Genomic DNA, 15,787 nt, shown 5'->3' with positions numbered 1-15,787 from the left:
TCTGTTTACTCATATCTCTTCTAAAAGGCTTTCTGAAAAAGCTACTTGTTTTTCTGTTTTGTTGTTTTTTAGATTGAGTCTTACTCTGTCACCCAGGCTGGAGTGCAACCTCTGCCTCCTGGGTTCAAGTGATTCTCCTGACTCAGCCTCTCGAGTAGCTGGTATTACAGGCGCCTGCCACCATCCCCAGCTAATTTTTGTATTTTTAGTAGAGATGGGGTTTCGCCATGTTGGTCAGGCTGGTCTCAAACTCCTGACCTTGGGTGATCCACCCGCTTCGGCCTCCCAAAGTGCTGGGATCATGGGCATGAGCCACCGCACTCGGCTTGATTTGTTTTTGAAATAACTATTTTGAATAGTCACTACTTAACAAATTACATTTACTGAGTATATTCACTGTATACCAAGTTCTATACTAAGAGCTTTACATGTATTATCTCAAATAATGCTTGTGACGAACTTATGAGACAGATATGATTATTCCCTTTATTTATTTACTTATTCCTCATTTTGCAGATAAGGATATCAATACTTTGAATAATTAAGAAACCTGCTTCAGATAACTCAAATATTTAGGGGCAGAATCCCTGTATATTAAATTACAAACCCTATACTGTTTAATTAAATTCACTGTCATTCAACAATTCTGAAGTATTATGTAACACTAAACAAACTGCAACTTATAGTTCATGATGGCAAAATGAGTCCAAACAATGACATATTCTCCCCACCAAAATCCCACTGAAAGGACAGAATGTAAATGTTAGAAATAAATCCACAACATATAGACACACACAGAAAGGTCATAGGCAAAGATGAAGAATTCCTGGAAGTTTAAAGGAATAGAATTATGTTAAGAAAAAAAATAAAAATGCAGACTTGTAATCCAACATAAGCAAAAAGAAAAATCAGTAATAAAGACAGTAAATGAGTGTTCCTTTTTTTTTTTTTTGAGACAGAGTCTCGCTCTGTCGTCCAGGCTGGAGAGCAGTGGCATGATCTCGGCTCACTGCAAGCTCCGCCTCCCAGGTTCACGCCATTCTTCTGCCTCAGCCTCCCAAATAGCTGGGACTACAGGCGCCTGCCACCACACCCAACTAATTTTTTTGTATTTTTTTAGTAGAGACGGGGTTTCACTGTGTTAGCCAGGATGGTCTCGATCTCCTGACCTCGTGATCTGCCCGCCTTGGCCTCCCAAAGTGTTGGGATTACAGGCGTGAGCCACCACGCCTGGCCGATAATTTTTTTTTTTTTTTGAGATAACTCTTAACACGCTGGGAGTGGTGGCTCACGCCTATAATCTCAGCACTTTAGGAGGCCAAAGTGGGCGGATCACGAGGTCAGGAGATCGAGACCATCCTGACTATGGTGAAACCCCGTTTCTACTAAAAATACAAAAAATTAGCTGGGCGTGGTGGCAGGTGCCCGTAGTCCCAGCTACTCTGGAGGCTGAGGCAAGAGAATGGCGTGAACCCGGGAGGCGGAGCTTGCAGTGAGCCGAGATTGCGCCACTGCAGTCCGCAGTCTGGCCTGGGCGACAGAGCGAGACTCCGTCTCAAAAAAAAAAAAAAAAAAAAATACAAAAAATAGCCAGGCATGTGTGCCTGTAGTCCCAGCTACTCAGGAGGCTGAGGTGGGAGAATCACTTGAACCCAGGAGGTGGAGGCTGCAGTGAGTGGAGATGGTGCCACTGCACTCCAGCCTGGCCAACAGAGTGAGATCCTGTCTCAAAACAACAAACAAACAAACAAACAAACAAAACTCTGAGGTAGGGATAGTCTTCAATAAATGGCACTGGAAAACCTGGATATCCACATGCAAAAGAATGAAATTGTACCCTTGTCTTATACCATACACAAAAATTAACTGGAAAGTGATTAAAAACTGAAATGTAAGAAATACATTGAAAGCATAACTCAGGCCGGATGCGGTGGCTCACACATGTAATCCCAGCACTTTGGGAGGCCAAGGTGGGTGGATTACCTGAGGTCAGGAGTTCGAGACCAACCTGGCCAACATGATGAAACCCCATCTCTACTGAAAATATAAAAATTAGCCAGATGTGGTGGTGTGCGCCTGTAATCCCAGCTACTCAGGCAGCTGAGGCAGGCAAATCGCTTGAACCTTGGAGGTGGAGGTTGCAGTGAGCCAAGATCGTGCCGCTGCACTCCAGCCTGGGCAACAGAGCGAGAATCTGCCTCAAAAAAAAAGAAAGAAAGAAAAGAAAAGAAAAACAAAAAGCACAAAACTCCTAGAAAAAAAACATAAGGAAAAATCTCGACGTTGGTCTTGGCAATTACTTTTTTAATATGACCACCAAAAGAAATGGCAACAGGCTGGGTGCAGTGGCTCATGCCTGTAATCCCAGCACTTTGGAAAGCCAAAGTGGGTGGACCATGAGGTCAGGAGTTCTAGACCAGCCTGACCAACATGGTGAAAGCCTGTCTCTACTAAAAATACAAAAATTAGCCAGGCATGGTAGCGCACACCTGTAATCCCAGCTCAGGAGGGATCCTAACCTCAGGAGGCAGAGATTGCAGCGAGCTGAGATCACGCCACTGCACTCCAGCCTGTGTAGTACAGCGAGACTCTGTCTCAAAAAAACAAACAAACAAACAAAAAAAACAGCAACAAAAGCAGAAAAAAACAGTTGGGCTACATCAAACTAAAAGGCTTCTGCACGGGAAAGGAAACCATCAACAAAATGAAAAGGCAACTTTCAGGAGAAAATATTTACAAACTTTACACTATGTGGTAAGATATTAATATCCAAAATATATAAGGAAATCATACAACTCAATAGCAAAACAAACAAACAAACAAAAACACAGTTAAAAACTGGGCAGGCCGGGCGCGGTGGCTCATGCCTGTATTCCCAGCACTCTGGGAGGCCGAAGTGGGTGGATCAGGAGGTCAGGAGTTCAATACCAGCCTGGCTAACACGGTGAAACCCCGTCTCTACGAAAAATACAGAAATTAGCCAGGCATGGTGGCAGGCGCCTGTAATCCTAGCCACTGGGGAGGCTGAGACAGGAGAATAGTTTGAACCCAGGGGGTGGAGTTTACAGTGGGCCGAGATCATGCCACTGCACTCCAGCCTGGGCGACAGGGCGAGACTCTGTCTCAAAACAAAACAAAACAAAACAAAACAAAACAAACAAAAACAAAAAAAAACTGGGCAAATGACCTGAATAGACATTTGTCAAAGAAGTCATACAAATGGGCAACAAGTATATGAACAGAAGCTCAACATCAAGCATCATGACGGAAATTCAAATCAAAAACAAAATGAGACAGGAAGATCGCTTGAGGCCAGGAATTTATCACCAGCATAGACAACATAACGAGACCCATCTCCACTAAAAATTTAAAAATTAGCCGGGCATGGTAGCACACATCTGTAGTCCTAGCTACTCAGGAGGCTGAGACAGAAGGTTCCATTGAGCCAAGGAGTCTGGGGCTACAGTGATCACACCACTGCACTCCAGCCTGAGCAACAGAGCGAGAAGACCCATCTAAAAAAAAATTAAAAAAATAAAGAGAGAGATAACCTCACACCTATTAGGATGGCTATTATCAAAAAGATAACAGTAAACAAGTGCTGGCCAGGATGTGAAGAAGGGAGAACATTTGTACACTGCTGATAGAAATGTAAATTGGCATAGCTATTATGGAAAATATTATAGAATTAAAAATATATCTAAAAATAGAAGTACCATATGACTCAGGAATTGCACCTCTGAATGTATATCCAAAGAAAATGAAATCAGTCTCTCAGAGAGATACATGTACCTCAACACTCCCTGCAGAATTATTCAAAACATCCAAGATATGAAAACAATCTAAGTATCCAGCAAGAGATAAATAAATAAAGAAAATGTATGTATACACAATGGAATATCGTTCAGCCATAAAAAAAAAAAAAGGAAATCCTGCCATGTGCAACACAAGGATGAACCTGTAGGACATTATGCTAAGTGAAATATGCCAAACACAGAAAAAACAAATACTGTGTGATCTTACTTATACGTGGAATCTAAAGAAAAAGTCACAGAAGGAAAGAGTAGAAGGACGGTTGCCAGGGATTAGGGGTTAGGAGAAGTGGGGAGATGTTGGTCAAACAGCACAAACTTCCCATTATGAGTAAGTTCTTAGTATCTAATGTACAACACAGAGAGTATAGTTAATAATACTGTTTTGTATACTTGAAATTTGCTGAAAATAAATCTTGAGTGTTCTCACCACCAAAAAAAGGTAACTATGTGAGGTGATGGATGTGTTAATTAACTTGACTGTGGTAATCATTTCACAATGTATACATACATAAAATCATCTATCACATTGCACATCTTTTTTAAAAGCAACTAAAAAAATCTATTCTTCAGAAGATACCATTATTAGAATAAAAACAACACAGAGAACAGAATACACACACCTACGCGCCAAAGGAAAAGCATCCAGAATATATAAAATTTTCCTACAAATCAAATCAATGAGACAGACTACCCAAATGGGAGAATGGACAAAAAGCTTAAACAAGCCTTTTACAAAATAGGAAATCCAAACAGCCACAAAATATGCAAAGGTATTCAGCTTCTTTAATTATCAGAGAAATACTAATTTAAAACCACAATGAGATAGTGCTGCATAACTACAAGACCGCACAAATTAAAGTTCGACAATAGCAACCGAACTGTGGTCAAGAAAATGGAGCAACATGTACTATCATCAACTACTGTGAAAGTGTAAACTGGTACATTGCAGGTAACATTTAGGCATTACTTATTAAAGGTAAAGATATGTATACTCTTTGACTACCTCCTAGGTATATACCACAAATTAACATACATACACAACAAATACATGAGTCAACCATGGTAGTATGTGCCTGTAGTACCAGCTGCTCAGGAGGCTGTGAGGCAGGGGGATCGCTTGAGCCCAGGAGTTTACAGCCTGGGAAATACAGCAAGACCCTGTCTCTAAAACAATAATAAGGGCTACAAATGGGCAACAGCCCAAGTTGTTCAACATGAAAATGGACAATACTACATAAAGCACACAAGAATCTCACAAGCAGCACATGATAAAAGAACACATAGAGCATGACTTTCTTCAAAAACAACCATCATGTTTAGAGAAAAGTGGTGAAACTATTAAGAAAAACAAGTAAACCATTACAGAACTCTCATGATGAAAGTCAGGAAGGTAGTTTTTTAGGGGGAGATAGAAATATGAAATCAGAAAGGACATACAGATATCTGCAGTGCAGACAATGTTCTTTCCTAACTGGATGGTGTTCAGTTTATAATTATTCATTGAAGTGTACATTTATGTTTTATGACCTTTTCTATACATATGCTTATTTTGCAATATTTAAAATAAAAAAAAAGCAGAGAAAAGGTATCAATTTTGCCGGCAGAAATCACAGCAAGGACAGCTTCATAGCCCATCCAGTTTGCAATCTGGTTGCAGAAGTTATTTCATGGAAGCTCAGCCTAGAGTATACTGTATGTTTCTTCAGCCCTTTCAATTATTTGGGGTGTTTACTAGCTTTTGATAAAACCCTTTCTTCTATTTTTTTTTTTTTTTAACAACAGGGTCTCAATATGTTGCCCAGGCTGGAGTGCAGGCTAATTCACAGGTGTGATCATCACATACTACAACCTTGACCTCCTGGGCTCAGGCAATCCTCCTGCCTCAGCCTCCCAAGCAGCTGGGACTATAAGCATGTGCTACTGTGCCTGGCTATCCTCTTTCTTTTTAAACAAACTGAAGTAAATTAAAAAACAAACAAACAAAAAAAAAACTTCTACTACAATAAATGTGAATGAATAAATGAGGCGAACTCTCAGAAGTTCTACAGCACATTCAAAACACAAAATTTGGCAGGGTACAGTGGCTCATGCCTACATTCACAGTGCTTTGGGAGGCCAAGGCAGGAGGACCACTTGAGGCCAGGAGACCAGCTTGGGGAACACAGCCACATTCTGTCTCTACAAAAAAAAAAAAAAAATTTTTTTTTTTAATTAACCAGGTTTAGTGGCATGCATCTGTTAGTTCTAACTTCTTCAGAGGAGGAGGCAGGAGGATCACTTGAGCTCAGGAGTTCAAGGCTGCAGTGAGCTATAATCGTGCCACTGCACTCCAGCCTGGGCGACAGAGCAAGACTCAGTCTCCTAAAGAGTAAAAGAAAGAAAACAAAACAAAATTTACCTACAGTATACAAATAATTCAGCCATTCACAAAAATCACCTAAAACAAAATGGCAAGTGAAAAAACGAGCTAAAAATAAATATCCTTAGATGCAATATTATTTAAATCACACTTTTGGTCAAAAGCCTAACATGAACAAAGAGATATTTTGCAATGACCTAAAAATGACTAATTCATACTTTCCCTATTCATCTGAAATGTCACCTTTATTATATGCTACATTTTGCCTTAGATCTATTTCTAAACTCATCCTACTAATCTATTTATAGTACTTTTTAATAATTGGTAGTTTAAGTATCCCTCAATTCTTTTTCTTTTTTTGAGACAGTCTCACTCTGTCACCCAGGCCGGAGTGCAGAGGCGTGATCTTGGCTCACTGCAACCTCTGCCTCCTGGGTTCAAGAGATTCTCCTGTCTCAGCCTCCCGAGTAGCTGGGATTATAGGTATGTGCCACCACACCAGGCTAATATTTTTGTATTTTTAGTAGAGACGGGATTTCACCATGTTCGCCAGGCTGGTCTCGAACTCTTGACCTTCAGTAATCTGCCGCCTCGGCCTCCCAAAGTGCTGGGATTACAGGCATGAGCCACTGAACCTGGCCTTTTTCTTTTCTTTTTAGTTTTCCTTTTTTTTTTTTTTTGAGACAGAGCCTTGCTCTGTCGCCCAGGCTACAGTACAGTGGCTCAATCTCAGCTCACTGCAACCTCCGCCACCCAGGTTAAAGCAATTCTTGTGCCTCAGCTTCCAGAGTAGCTGGGATTACAGTTGTGTGCCACCACACCCATAACCCCAGTTACAGGAGGCTGAGGCTCAAGAATCACTTGAGCTTGGGAGGCAGAAGCTGCAGTGAGCCGAGATCATGCCATTGCACTTCAGCCTGGGTGACAGCAAGACTCTGCCTCCAAAAAAAACAAAAACAAAAAAATTAATCTTACATAGCTGGGTGCAGTCACTCATGCCTGCAGTCCCAGCTACTTGTGAGGCTGAGGCAGGAGGATGCTTGAGCCCAGGAGTTAGAAGCTATAGTGCACTGTGATTGAACCCGTGAATAGCTACTATACTCCAGCCTGGACAACACAGAGATCCTGTCGCTTAAAAAAGGGGGAGGGAGGTGCAGGCGCGGTGGCTTACATCTGTAATCCCAGCACTTTGGCAGGCCAAGGCAGGAGGGGATAGCTTCAGCCCAGGAGTTCAAGACCAGTCTGTGCAACATAGTAAGACCCTATCTCTACCCAAAAAAAAAAAAAAAAAAGTAAAAAGAAAATTCTCCCACATACTTTTCCAAAGGAACTTTAGTAGCAACTTGCAAAATTAAAAAACCTTCTTGAGATTCTGATTGAAACTGCACTAAATTTATATATTAAGCAACTGGTATTTTTATGTTGTCTTCCTTAACTATAGTATTTATTTCCTACTTTATATTTTAATTTTTTTAATGACATAAAACGAGAAGTGCATTAAAAGACAGCACCATCTAGTATACTAACTCTCACTTAAGTATTCTTTTCATTTTTTCCTCAGACAGAGTCTCACTCTGTCACCCGGGCTGCAATGCAGTGGCATGATCTTGGCTCACCACAACCTCTGCCTCCTCGGCTCAAGCGATCCTCCCACCTGGGCCTCCCAAGCAGCTGGGTTTGCCTGGGCTGGCTACAGGTGCACGCCACCACGCCCAGCTAATTTTTGTATTTTTTGTACAGAGGGGGTTCCACTATGTTGCCCAGGCTGGTCTTGAATTCCTGGGCTCGAGCAATCTGCCCACCTCAGCCTCCCAAAGTGTTGGGATTAGAGGTGTGAGCCACCACACCCAGCCTAAGGAAAATTTTCTTAAGCAAGAAAATATGCATGTCATAAAGGCAAAAACCAATAAATTGTTATAACATCTCTATTTTATAGGTAAGGATACCCTGGTGCAAATAGTTTTACTGAAGGTTACAAAGGTAGTAATGTGTCCAGAATTGGTGGGTTCTTGGTCTCACTGACTTCAAGAATGAAACCGCAGACCCTTGCCACGAGTGTTACAGTTCTTAAAGGCAGTGTGTCCAGAATTTGTTCCTTCTGATGTTCGGATGTGTTCGGAGTTTCTTCCTTCTGGTGGGTTCGTGGTCTCGCTGGCTTCAGGAATGAAGCTGCAGACTTTCCCGGTGAGTGTTACAGCTTTTAATGCTGCGCGTCTGGAGTTGTTCGTTCCTTCTGGTGGGTTGGTGGTCTCCCTGGCTTCAGGAGTGAAGCTGCAGACCTTCGCAGTGAGTGTTACAGCTCATAAAGACAGTGTGGACCCAGTGAGCAGCAGCAAGATTTATTGCAAAGGGCAAAAGAACTAAGCTTCCACGGTGTGGAAGCCACCCCACCGTGTTGCCAATGTTGGCTGAGCCTGCTTTTATTCCCTTATCTGGCACCACCCACATCCTGCTGATTGGTCCATTTTACAGAGAGCTGATTAGTCTGTTTTACAGAGAACTGATTGGTCCGTTTTGACAGGGTGCTGATTGGTGCATTTACAATCCCTGAGATAGACACAAAAGTTCTCCAAGTCCCCACTAGATTAGCCAGACACAGAGCACTGATTGGTGCATTTACAAACCTTGAGCTAGACACAGAGTGCTGACTGGTATATTTACAATACCTTGGCTAGACATAAAGATTCTCCAAGTCCCCACCAGATTAGCTAGATACAGAGTGCTGATTGTTGCATCCACAAACCCTGAGCTAGACACAGGGTGCTGACTGGCGTGTTTACAAACCTCGAGCTAGATACGGAGTGCTGATTGGTGTATTTACAATCCCTTAGCTAGACATAAAGGTTCTCCAAGTCCCCACTAGACTCAGGAGCCCAGCTGGCTTTGCAGTGGATCCCGCACCGGGGCCGCAGGTGGAGCTGCCTGCCAGTCCCGGGCCTTGCGCCCACACTCCTCAGCCCTTGGGCCCGCACTCCTCAGCCCTTGGGCAGTCGACGGGACCGGGCACCGTGGAGCAGGGGGTGGTGCTCATCGGGGAGGCTTGGGCTGTGTGAGGCGGGGGGGTGGCGGGGGGGGGGCCTCAGGTATGGCAGGCTGCAGGTCCCAAGCCCTGCCTCATGGGGAGTCAGCTAAGGCCCGGCGAGAAATCCAGCGCAGCGCCGGTGGGCCAGCACTGCTGGGGGACCCGGCGCACCCTCTGCAGCTAGTGGCCCGGGTGCTAAGCCCCTCACTGCCTGCGGCCAGCAGCGCCAGCTGGCCGCTCCGAGTGCAGGGCCTGCGGAGCCCATGCCCACCTGGAACTCGCGCTGGCCCACAAGTGCAGCACGCAGCCCCAGTTCCCACCCGCGCCTCTCCCTCCACACCTCCCCACAAGCTGAGGGAGCCGGCTCCGGCCTCGGCCAGCCCAGGGAGGGGCTCCCACAGTGCAGTGGCGGGCTGAAGGGCTCCTCAAGCGCAGCCAGAGTAGGCGCCAAGGCTGAGGAGGCGCTGAGAGCCAGCGAGGGCTGCCAGCACGCTGTCAACTCTCAGTAAGTGGAGAAGCTGGAATTCGAACCTAGGCAGTACAACTCTAGGGCACATACTCTCAATCACTTAAGAGTTCTTACAGAATTCCAATTCCAAAGTAGTATGGAGATGTAAAGCCTTCAGGGAAGCAATTTGAAAATACTTATTGGCAACCATCAAAAGGTATACATTGTTTAAGCAAATAATTCAGTTTTGAGAATTTTTTTTCTGAAGAAATAGTCCAAATGAAAAAAAAAAGGCTACACTGCTTTCACTTTAGCCCTTATTTAAAGGGTTTATTTAAGCAGTAATACTATTTAGTATTACATAGTACACAATTCCCCAATTCCACAGACTGAATGGAATATCAACTAGCTGGACAAAAACTAATAGCTTCTCCTGAAAGCTCTTAACTGATAGGTTAGGAAGCCTATTATGGTAGAAAAGGCCAAGTGCAAGACTTTGGAGCACCTCAACAATGAGACTCTACTCCAAACTAATAATTTAAAAGCACTGTCGCATCCTTCAAAGAATAACAAAGATTCCTGCCACCACTAAAACATGAAAGAAGAAGGGGTGGTAAATCCCATCTATTCCTATTACATAGTTTGACCACTGCAAAAGTCTGATAGCTCTTGGAAAATGACAGTGAATTATCATAACCAAATGGTGACTCCAAATGCTGCTGTTTCTTATTTATTCTCGTCATTGAAAAAAAAAACAGACTGTTATCTGGTACACATCCAGCAGCAAGACCCTGATGAAACTGCTACCTAGATTCCTAAAAGTATCCGGGTTTCTGATCTTTTTATATCTTCAGCTTTACCTTTCCTTTTTTGCAAGAATAATTCTATTTTCTTTTTCTTGAAGCAATAGTGTGTAAACCACCAAATCCCATCAATTTTAAATATTTATAGTATTTAATTCCTACACACAAGGACAGTCTCCTACATAACTACGATCCCATCAAAATCAGGAAGTTAACAATGATACCATACCACCTGCATACAGGTTTGTAGCCTAGGAGCAACACGCTATATACAATCTAGGTGTGCAGTAGGCTATACCATCTAGGTTTGTGTCAGTACACTCTGATATTCGCACACCAACACAAAATCACCTAAGACACATTTCTCAGAACATATCCCTGTTGTTAAGCAACATATGACTGTATATAAAATTATAGAAAAAATAATCTACAAGACAGAAAGCGGCTCAGTGGTTACCTAGAAATGGAGATTGGAGAATGTGGGATAATTGCAAATGGTCACAAGGAAACTTTTGGGCGTGATAGATGTTTATTGCTTTGAATGTGATGATGGCTTGACATGCGCATATGTCAAAAATTATCAGAGTATACTTTAAATGTGTACCATTTATTGTATGTCAATTATACCTCTATAAATCTGTTTTCTTTTTTTAAATACCCACATGTAGCCACTGACTACATGTAGTCAGTGGCTACATGTGTACTCCAGTCAATTGGACAGCACATAGGTAAAGGACAAAAACAAAAATGATAGGAGGACTTAATTGTGAAAGCAGAGCTGTATACCTCTTAGAAGAGAACACAATAGCATCTTTAAAAACATGAGATATCAAGAAAATGATTAATAAAATTACATAAGTTTAACATCTTCTGTTCATTAATAAACATCACGAAGTGAAGAGACAAACTAAAAACTGGAAGATACCTGCTAACTCTGTAACAAAGAATTAGTATCCAAAATACATAAAGAATTTTGGGCCAGGCGTGGCAGCTCACACCTACAATCCCAGCGCTTTGGGAGGCCGAGGCAGGTGGATCACTTGAGGCCAGGAGTTTGAGACCAGCTTGGCAAACATGGTGAAACCCCATTTCTACAAAAAACACAAAAATTAGTCAGGCATTGTAGCACATGCCTGTAATCCCAGCTACTCAAGTGGCTGAGGCAGGAGGATTGCTTGAAACTAGGAGGCAGAGCCAAGATCGTGCCGCTGCACTCCAGCCTGGGTGACAGAGCAAGACCCTGTCTCAAAAAAAAACCCAACAAAACAAAAAAACCCCACAAAATACATAAAGAATTTCTACAAATCAGCAAGAAAACAATTCAGTGTTAACATGGGCAAAAAAATTAAAAGGTATTTCATAAAAAGAAAACATGGCCAGGCATGGTGGCTTACACCTATAATGTCAGCACTTTAGGAGGCCAAGGCGTGCAGATCACTTGAGGTCAGGAGTTCAAGACTAGCCTAGCCAACATGGTGAAACCCTAACTCTACTAAAAATAGAAAAATTAGCTGGGGTGGTGGTGCATGCTTGTAATCCCAGCTACTTTGGGAGGCTGAGGCAGGAGGATCGCATGAACCTGGGAGGCAGAGGTTGCAATGAGCTGAGATCGAGGCACTGCACTCCAGCCTGGGCAACAGGGCAACAGAGCGAGACTCCGTCTCAAAAATAATAATGTACTCAATCTTATGAGGAATCAGGGAAATGAGAATTAAAACCACAATAAGATATAATTTCACCACCATAAAATGCAGACCACTTCAAGTATTGGCAAGAAGGTGAAAGAATGATACTCTCCTACACTTCTTCAGGGGAATAAACAGGTATAAACACCTTGGAAAGCAATTTGGCAATATCTAGTGAGGTCCAAGATATCATACCTCATGACCCAGCAATTGTTCCCCTAGTACACTAGAGCAGGGTCAGCAAACCTTTTCTATGAAAGACCAGAAAATACTTTTGGCTTTGCAAAACATATGGTATCTGTCACAACTATTCAACTCTGCTGTTGAAGTGTGAAAGCAGTTACAGACATTGTATAAACAAATGATCTTGGCAGTGCTCCAATAAAAAAAATTTTATCTACAAAAATTGGTGGTAGCCCAATGCGGCCTGTAGGCTTTACTTTGCCAAACCTGGGCTCTCAGAGAACCCCTCAGATATTTGAAGAACAACCAAAGACATGTACGGAAATATTCCAAACATCATTGTTTTTAATTATAAATAGTTGTAAAACTAAATATCCTTCAAGGATACAATGGATGAGCACAATATTGGTATATTTATACTATCCATAAGTGAAAATGAACGAACTAGAGCTACGTGTGTCAACATGAAGAAATCATACAATACTGAACCAAAAAAGTAAGACCCAGAAGAATAGAGTAGTACCCCCTTATCGCAGGGGCATATGTTCCAAAACCCCCAAAGGATGCCTGAAACTTTGGATAGTACCAAATCCTATATACACTATGTTTTTTCCTATACGTACATACATATCTTTTTTTTTTTTTTTTTTGAGACAGTCTCACTCTATTGCTAGGTTGGAGTGCAGTGGCACGATCTCGGCTCACTGCAATCTCCACCTCCCAGGTTCAAGCAATTCCCCTGCCTCAGCCGCCTGAGTAGCTGCGACTACAGGTGCGCACCACCATGCCCGGCTAGTTTTTTGTATTTTAGTAGAGACAGGGTTTCACCATGTTGGCCAGGATGGTCTTGATCTCCTGACCTCATGATCCGCCCACCTCTGCCTCCCAAAGGGCTGGGATTACAGGCGTGAGCCACCGTGCTTGGCTCCTATACATACGTATCTATGATAAAATGTAATTTATAAATTAGGCACAGTAAGAAATTAACAACATTAATAAAATAAAACAAGTATAACAATATGCCAGCATTACTACTCTTGCTCTTTGGGTCCATTATTAAGTAAAATAAGAGTCACTTGAACATAAACACTGCAATACCATAAGAGTTGATCCGATAACCACACCCAAGATGGCTACTAAGTGACTAACAAGCTACTAAGTGACTAACAGGTAGGTAGCATATACAGCGTAGATATGCTGGGCAAAGAAATGATTAACATCCAGGGCTGACACAGTGGGACGAGACAAGATTTCATCATGCTACTCCCAACAGCACACAAGTTAAACTTACAAATTGTTTATTTCTAGAATTTTATATTTAATATTTCAACATTGAACAAAGTTAACAAACTGCAGAAAGTGAAACCAACACATAAGGGATGACAATAGCATACATATAGTAAGATGTCATATATAAGTTATAAAAACCATGCAGGCTGGGCACGGTGGCTCACACCTGTAATCCTAGCACTTTGGGAGGCCAAGGCGGGTGGATCACGAGGTCAGGAGTTCGAGACCAGCCTGGCCAACATGGTGAAACCCCATCTCTACTAAAAATACAAAAAATTAGCTGGGCGTGGTAGTGCGCGCCTGTAATTCCAGCTACTGGGGAGGCTGAGGTAGGAGAATCGCTTGAATCCAGGAGGCGGAGGTTGCGGTGAGCCGAGATCACGCCATTGCACTCCAGCCCGGGAGATTAAGCAAGACTCTGTCTTAAAAAACAAACAAACAAACAAAATACAAAATGTACTGTATATTGGTTAAAGATATACATAATAAAGGCCGGGCGCGGTGGCTCACGCCTGTAATCCCAGCACTTTGGGAGGCCGAGGAGGGCACATCACGAGGTCAGGAGATCGAGACCATCCTGGCTAACACGGTGAAACCCCGTCTCTACTAAAAATACAAAAAATTAGCCGGGCGTGGTGGCGGGCGCCTGTAGTCCCAGCCACTCGGGAGGCTGAGGCAGGAGAATGGTGTGAACCCAGGAGGCAGAGCTTGCAGTGAGCCAAGATAGCGCCACTGCACTCCAGCCTGGGCGACAGAGCGAGACTCTGTGTCAAAAAAAAAAAAAGATATACCTAATAAAATTATAAAAAAAATAGTGAGGATGATAAACACTGAATATAGAAGCAGTTGCCCCTCATGGGGAGTGAAAAAGATGTAATATGACACAGAGAGAAGGGGCTTAACTATACTGGTAATGTTTTATTATTTTATTTATTTATTTATTGTTGAGACAGAATCTCGCTCTGTTGCCAGGCTGGAGTGCAGTGTCGTTGATCTCAGCTCACTGTAGCTGGGACTACCAGCGCATGCCACCACACCCAGCTAATTTTTTGTATTTTTAGTAAAAACTGGGTTTCATCAGGTTCTTGACCTCATGATCTGCCTGCCTCGGCCTCCCAAAGTGCTGGGATTACAGGCGTGAGCCACCATGCCCGGCCTGGTAATGTTTTATTTTTTAAGCTGAGTTATGGATGGGTGTTTGTTTAATCATTTTACATCTTTTTGAATATTTCATAATATAAAGATGCAAAGAAATCTAGTTTTACCTGCATAATGTAGAAACTAATGAGAATTTAAATTGCTTCTATTTCTCTAAGTGATATCAATTCTGGAGAGACTACCTAATAAGGATCAAAAGTAATGACTGATAATGAAAATAGAAAAAATAAATTTGAACTTGATAAGTAATATGGCACACAACTCTTTCAGAACGTATAATTTATGAGAAGGTGAAGATCCTTTATGATGAAAAAATGCGAACAACCAACATAAAACAAGATACACATTTAAAATTCTATAGTTTAAGAGGTTTCTCCAAATTCAATTCTCTCTCCCCACTTTGGTTTCTTTCCATTTTAAATTAAAGTAATGCCAAATCTAGAACCAACAATTTATGTTAAGATTAACTTCTTCACGATTTCCTTGGTCATACTCTTTTAAAATGAATGCTCTAAATCTTCAGTCCAAGTTAACAAATGAAACTTTTGTATTTCATCTTCCTTTACAAATACTGTGGCCAATTCCCTGTAATCACACCAGAGATCACCCTTTGCAGAATGTCATCTTTCTATTGACTCTATTGATAAGACTATGACACAGAGCTAAAAGCTGCACTTCATTCACCATCTTCTTTAAACTATCAAAAGAAGGGACAATGAAAACATTATTTCCAATAAGTAAACCTAAAAAAGCCTATACAAACTTTAAAACTTATTTTTGCCAGGTGCGGTGGCTCACGCCTGTAATCCCAACACTTTGGGAGCCTGAGGCAGGTGGATCACTTGAGGTCGGGAGTTCAAGACCAGCCTGACCAACATGGAGAAACCCCAGAGACAGAGTCTCACTTCTTTTCTACTGAAAATACAAAATTAGCTGAGTGTGGTGGCACATGCGTGTAATCCCAGTTACTCGGGAAGCTGAGGCAGGAGAATCGCTTGAACCCGGGAGGTGGAGGTTGCAGTGA

At 42.3% G+C, this 15,787-nt stretch overlaps 1 protein-coding gene across 3 annotated transcripts in view; it reads right to left on the bottom strand.

Annotated features, from left to right (window-relative positions):
* The window catches only part of PPM1D (protein phosphatase, Mg2+/Mn2+ dependent 1D), a 66,088-nt gene that overhangs the window by 43,139 nt on the left and 7,162 nt on the right, over positions 1–15,787 (bottom strand). The gene's annotated exons all lie outside the window — the stretch shown is intronic.

Source organism: Homo sapiens, chromosome 17 (assembly GCF_000001405.40).
Source record: "Homo sapiens chromosome 17, GRCh38.p14 Primary Assembly".
Lineage (NCBI taxonomy): Eukaryota > Metazoa > Chordata > Mammalia > Primates > Hominidae > Homo > Homo sapiens.
The sequence above is the reverse complement of the archived record's forward strand: the minus strand, read 5'-3'. Positions and strand labels throughout refer to the sequence as shown.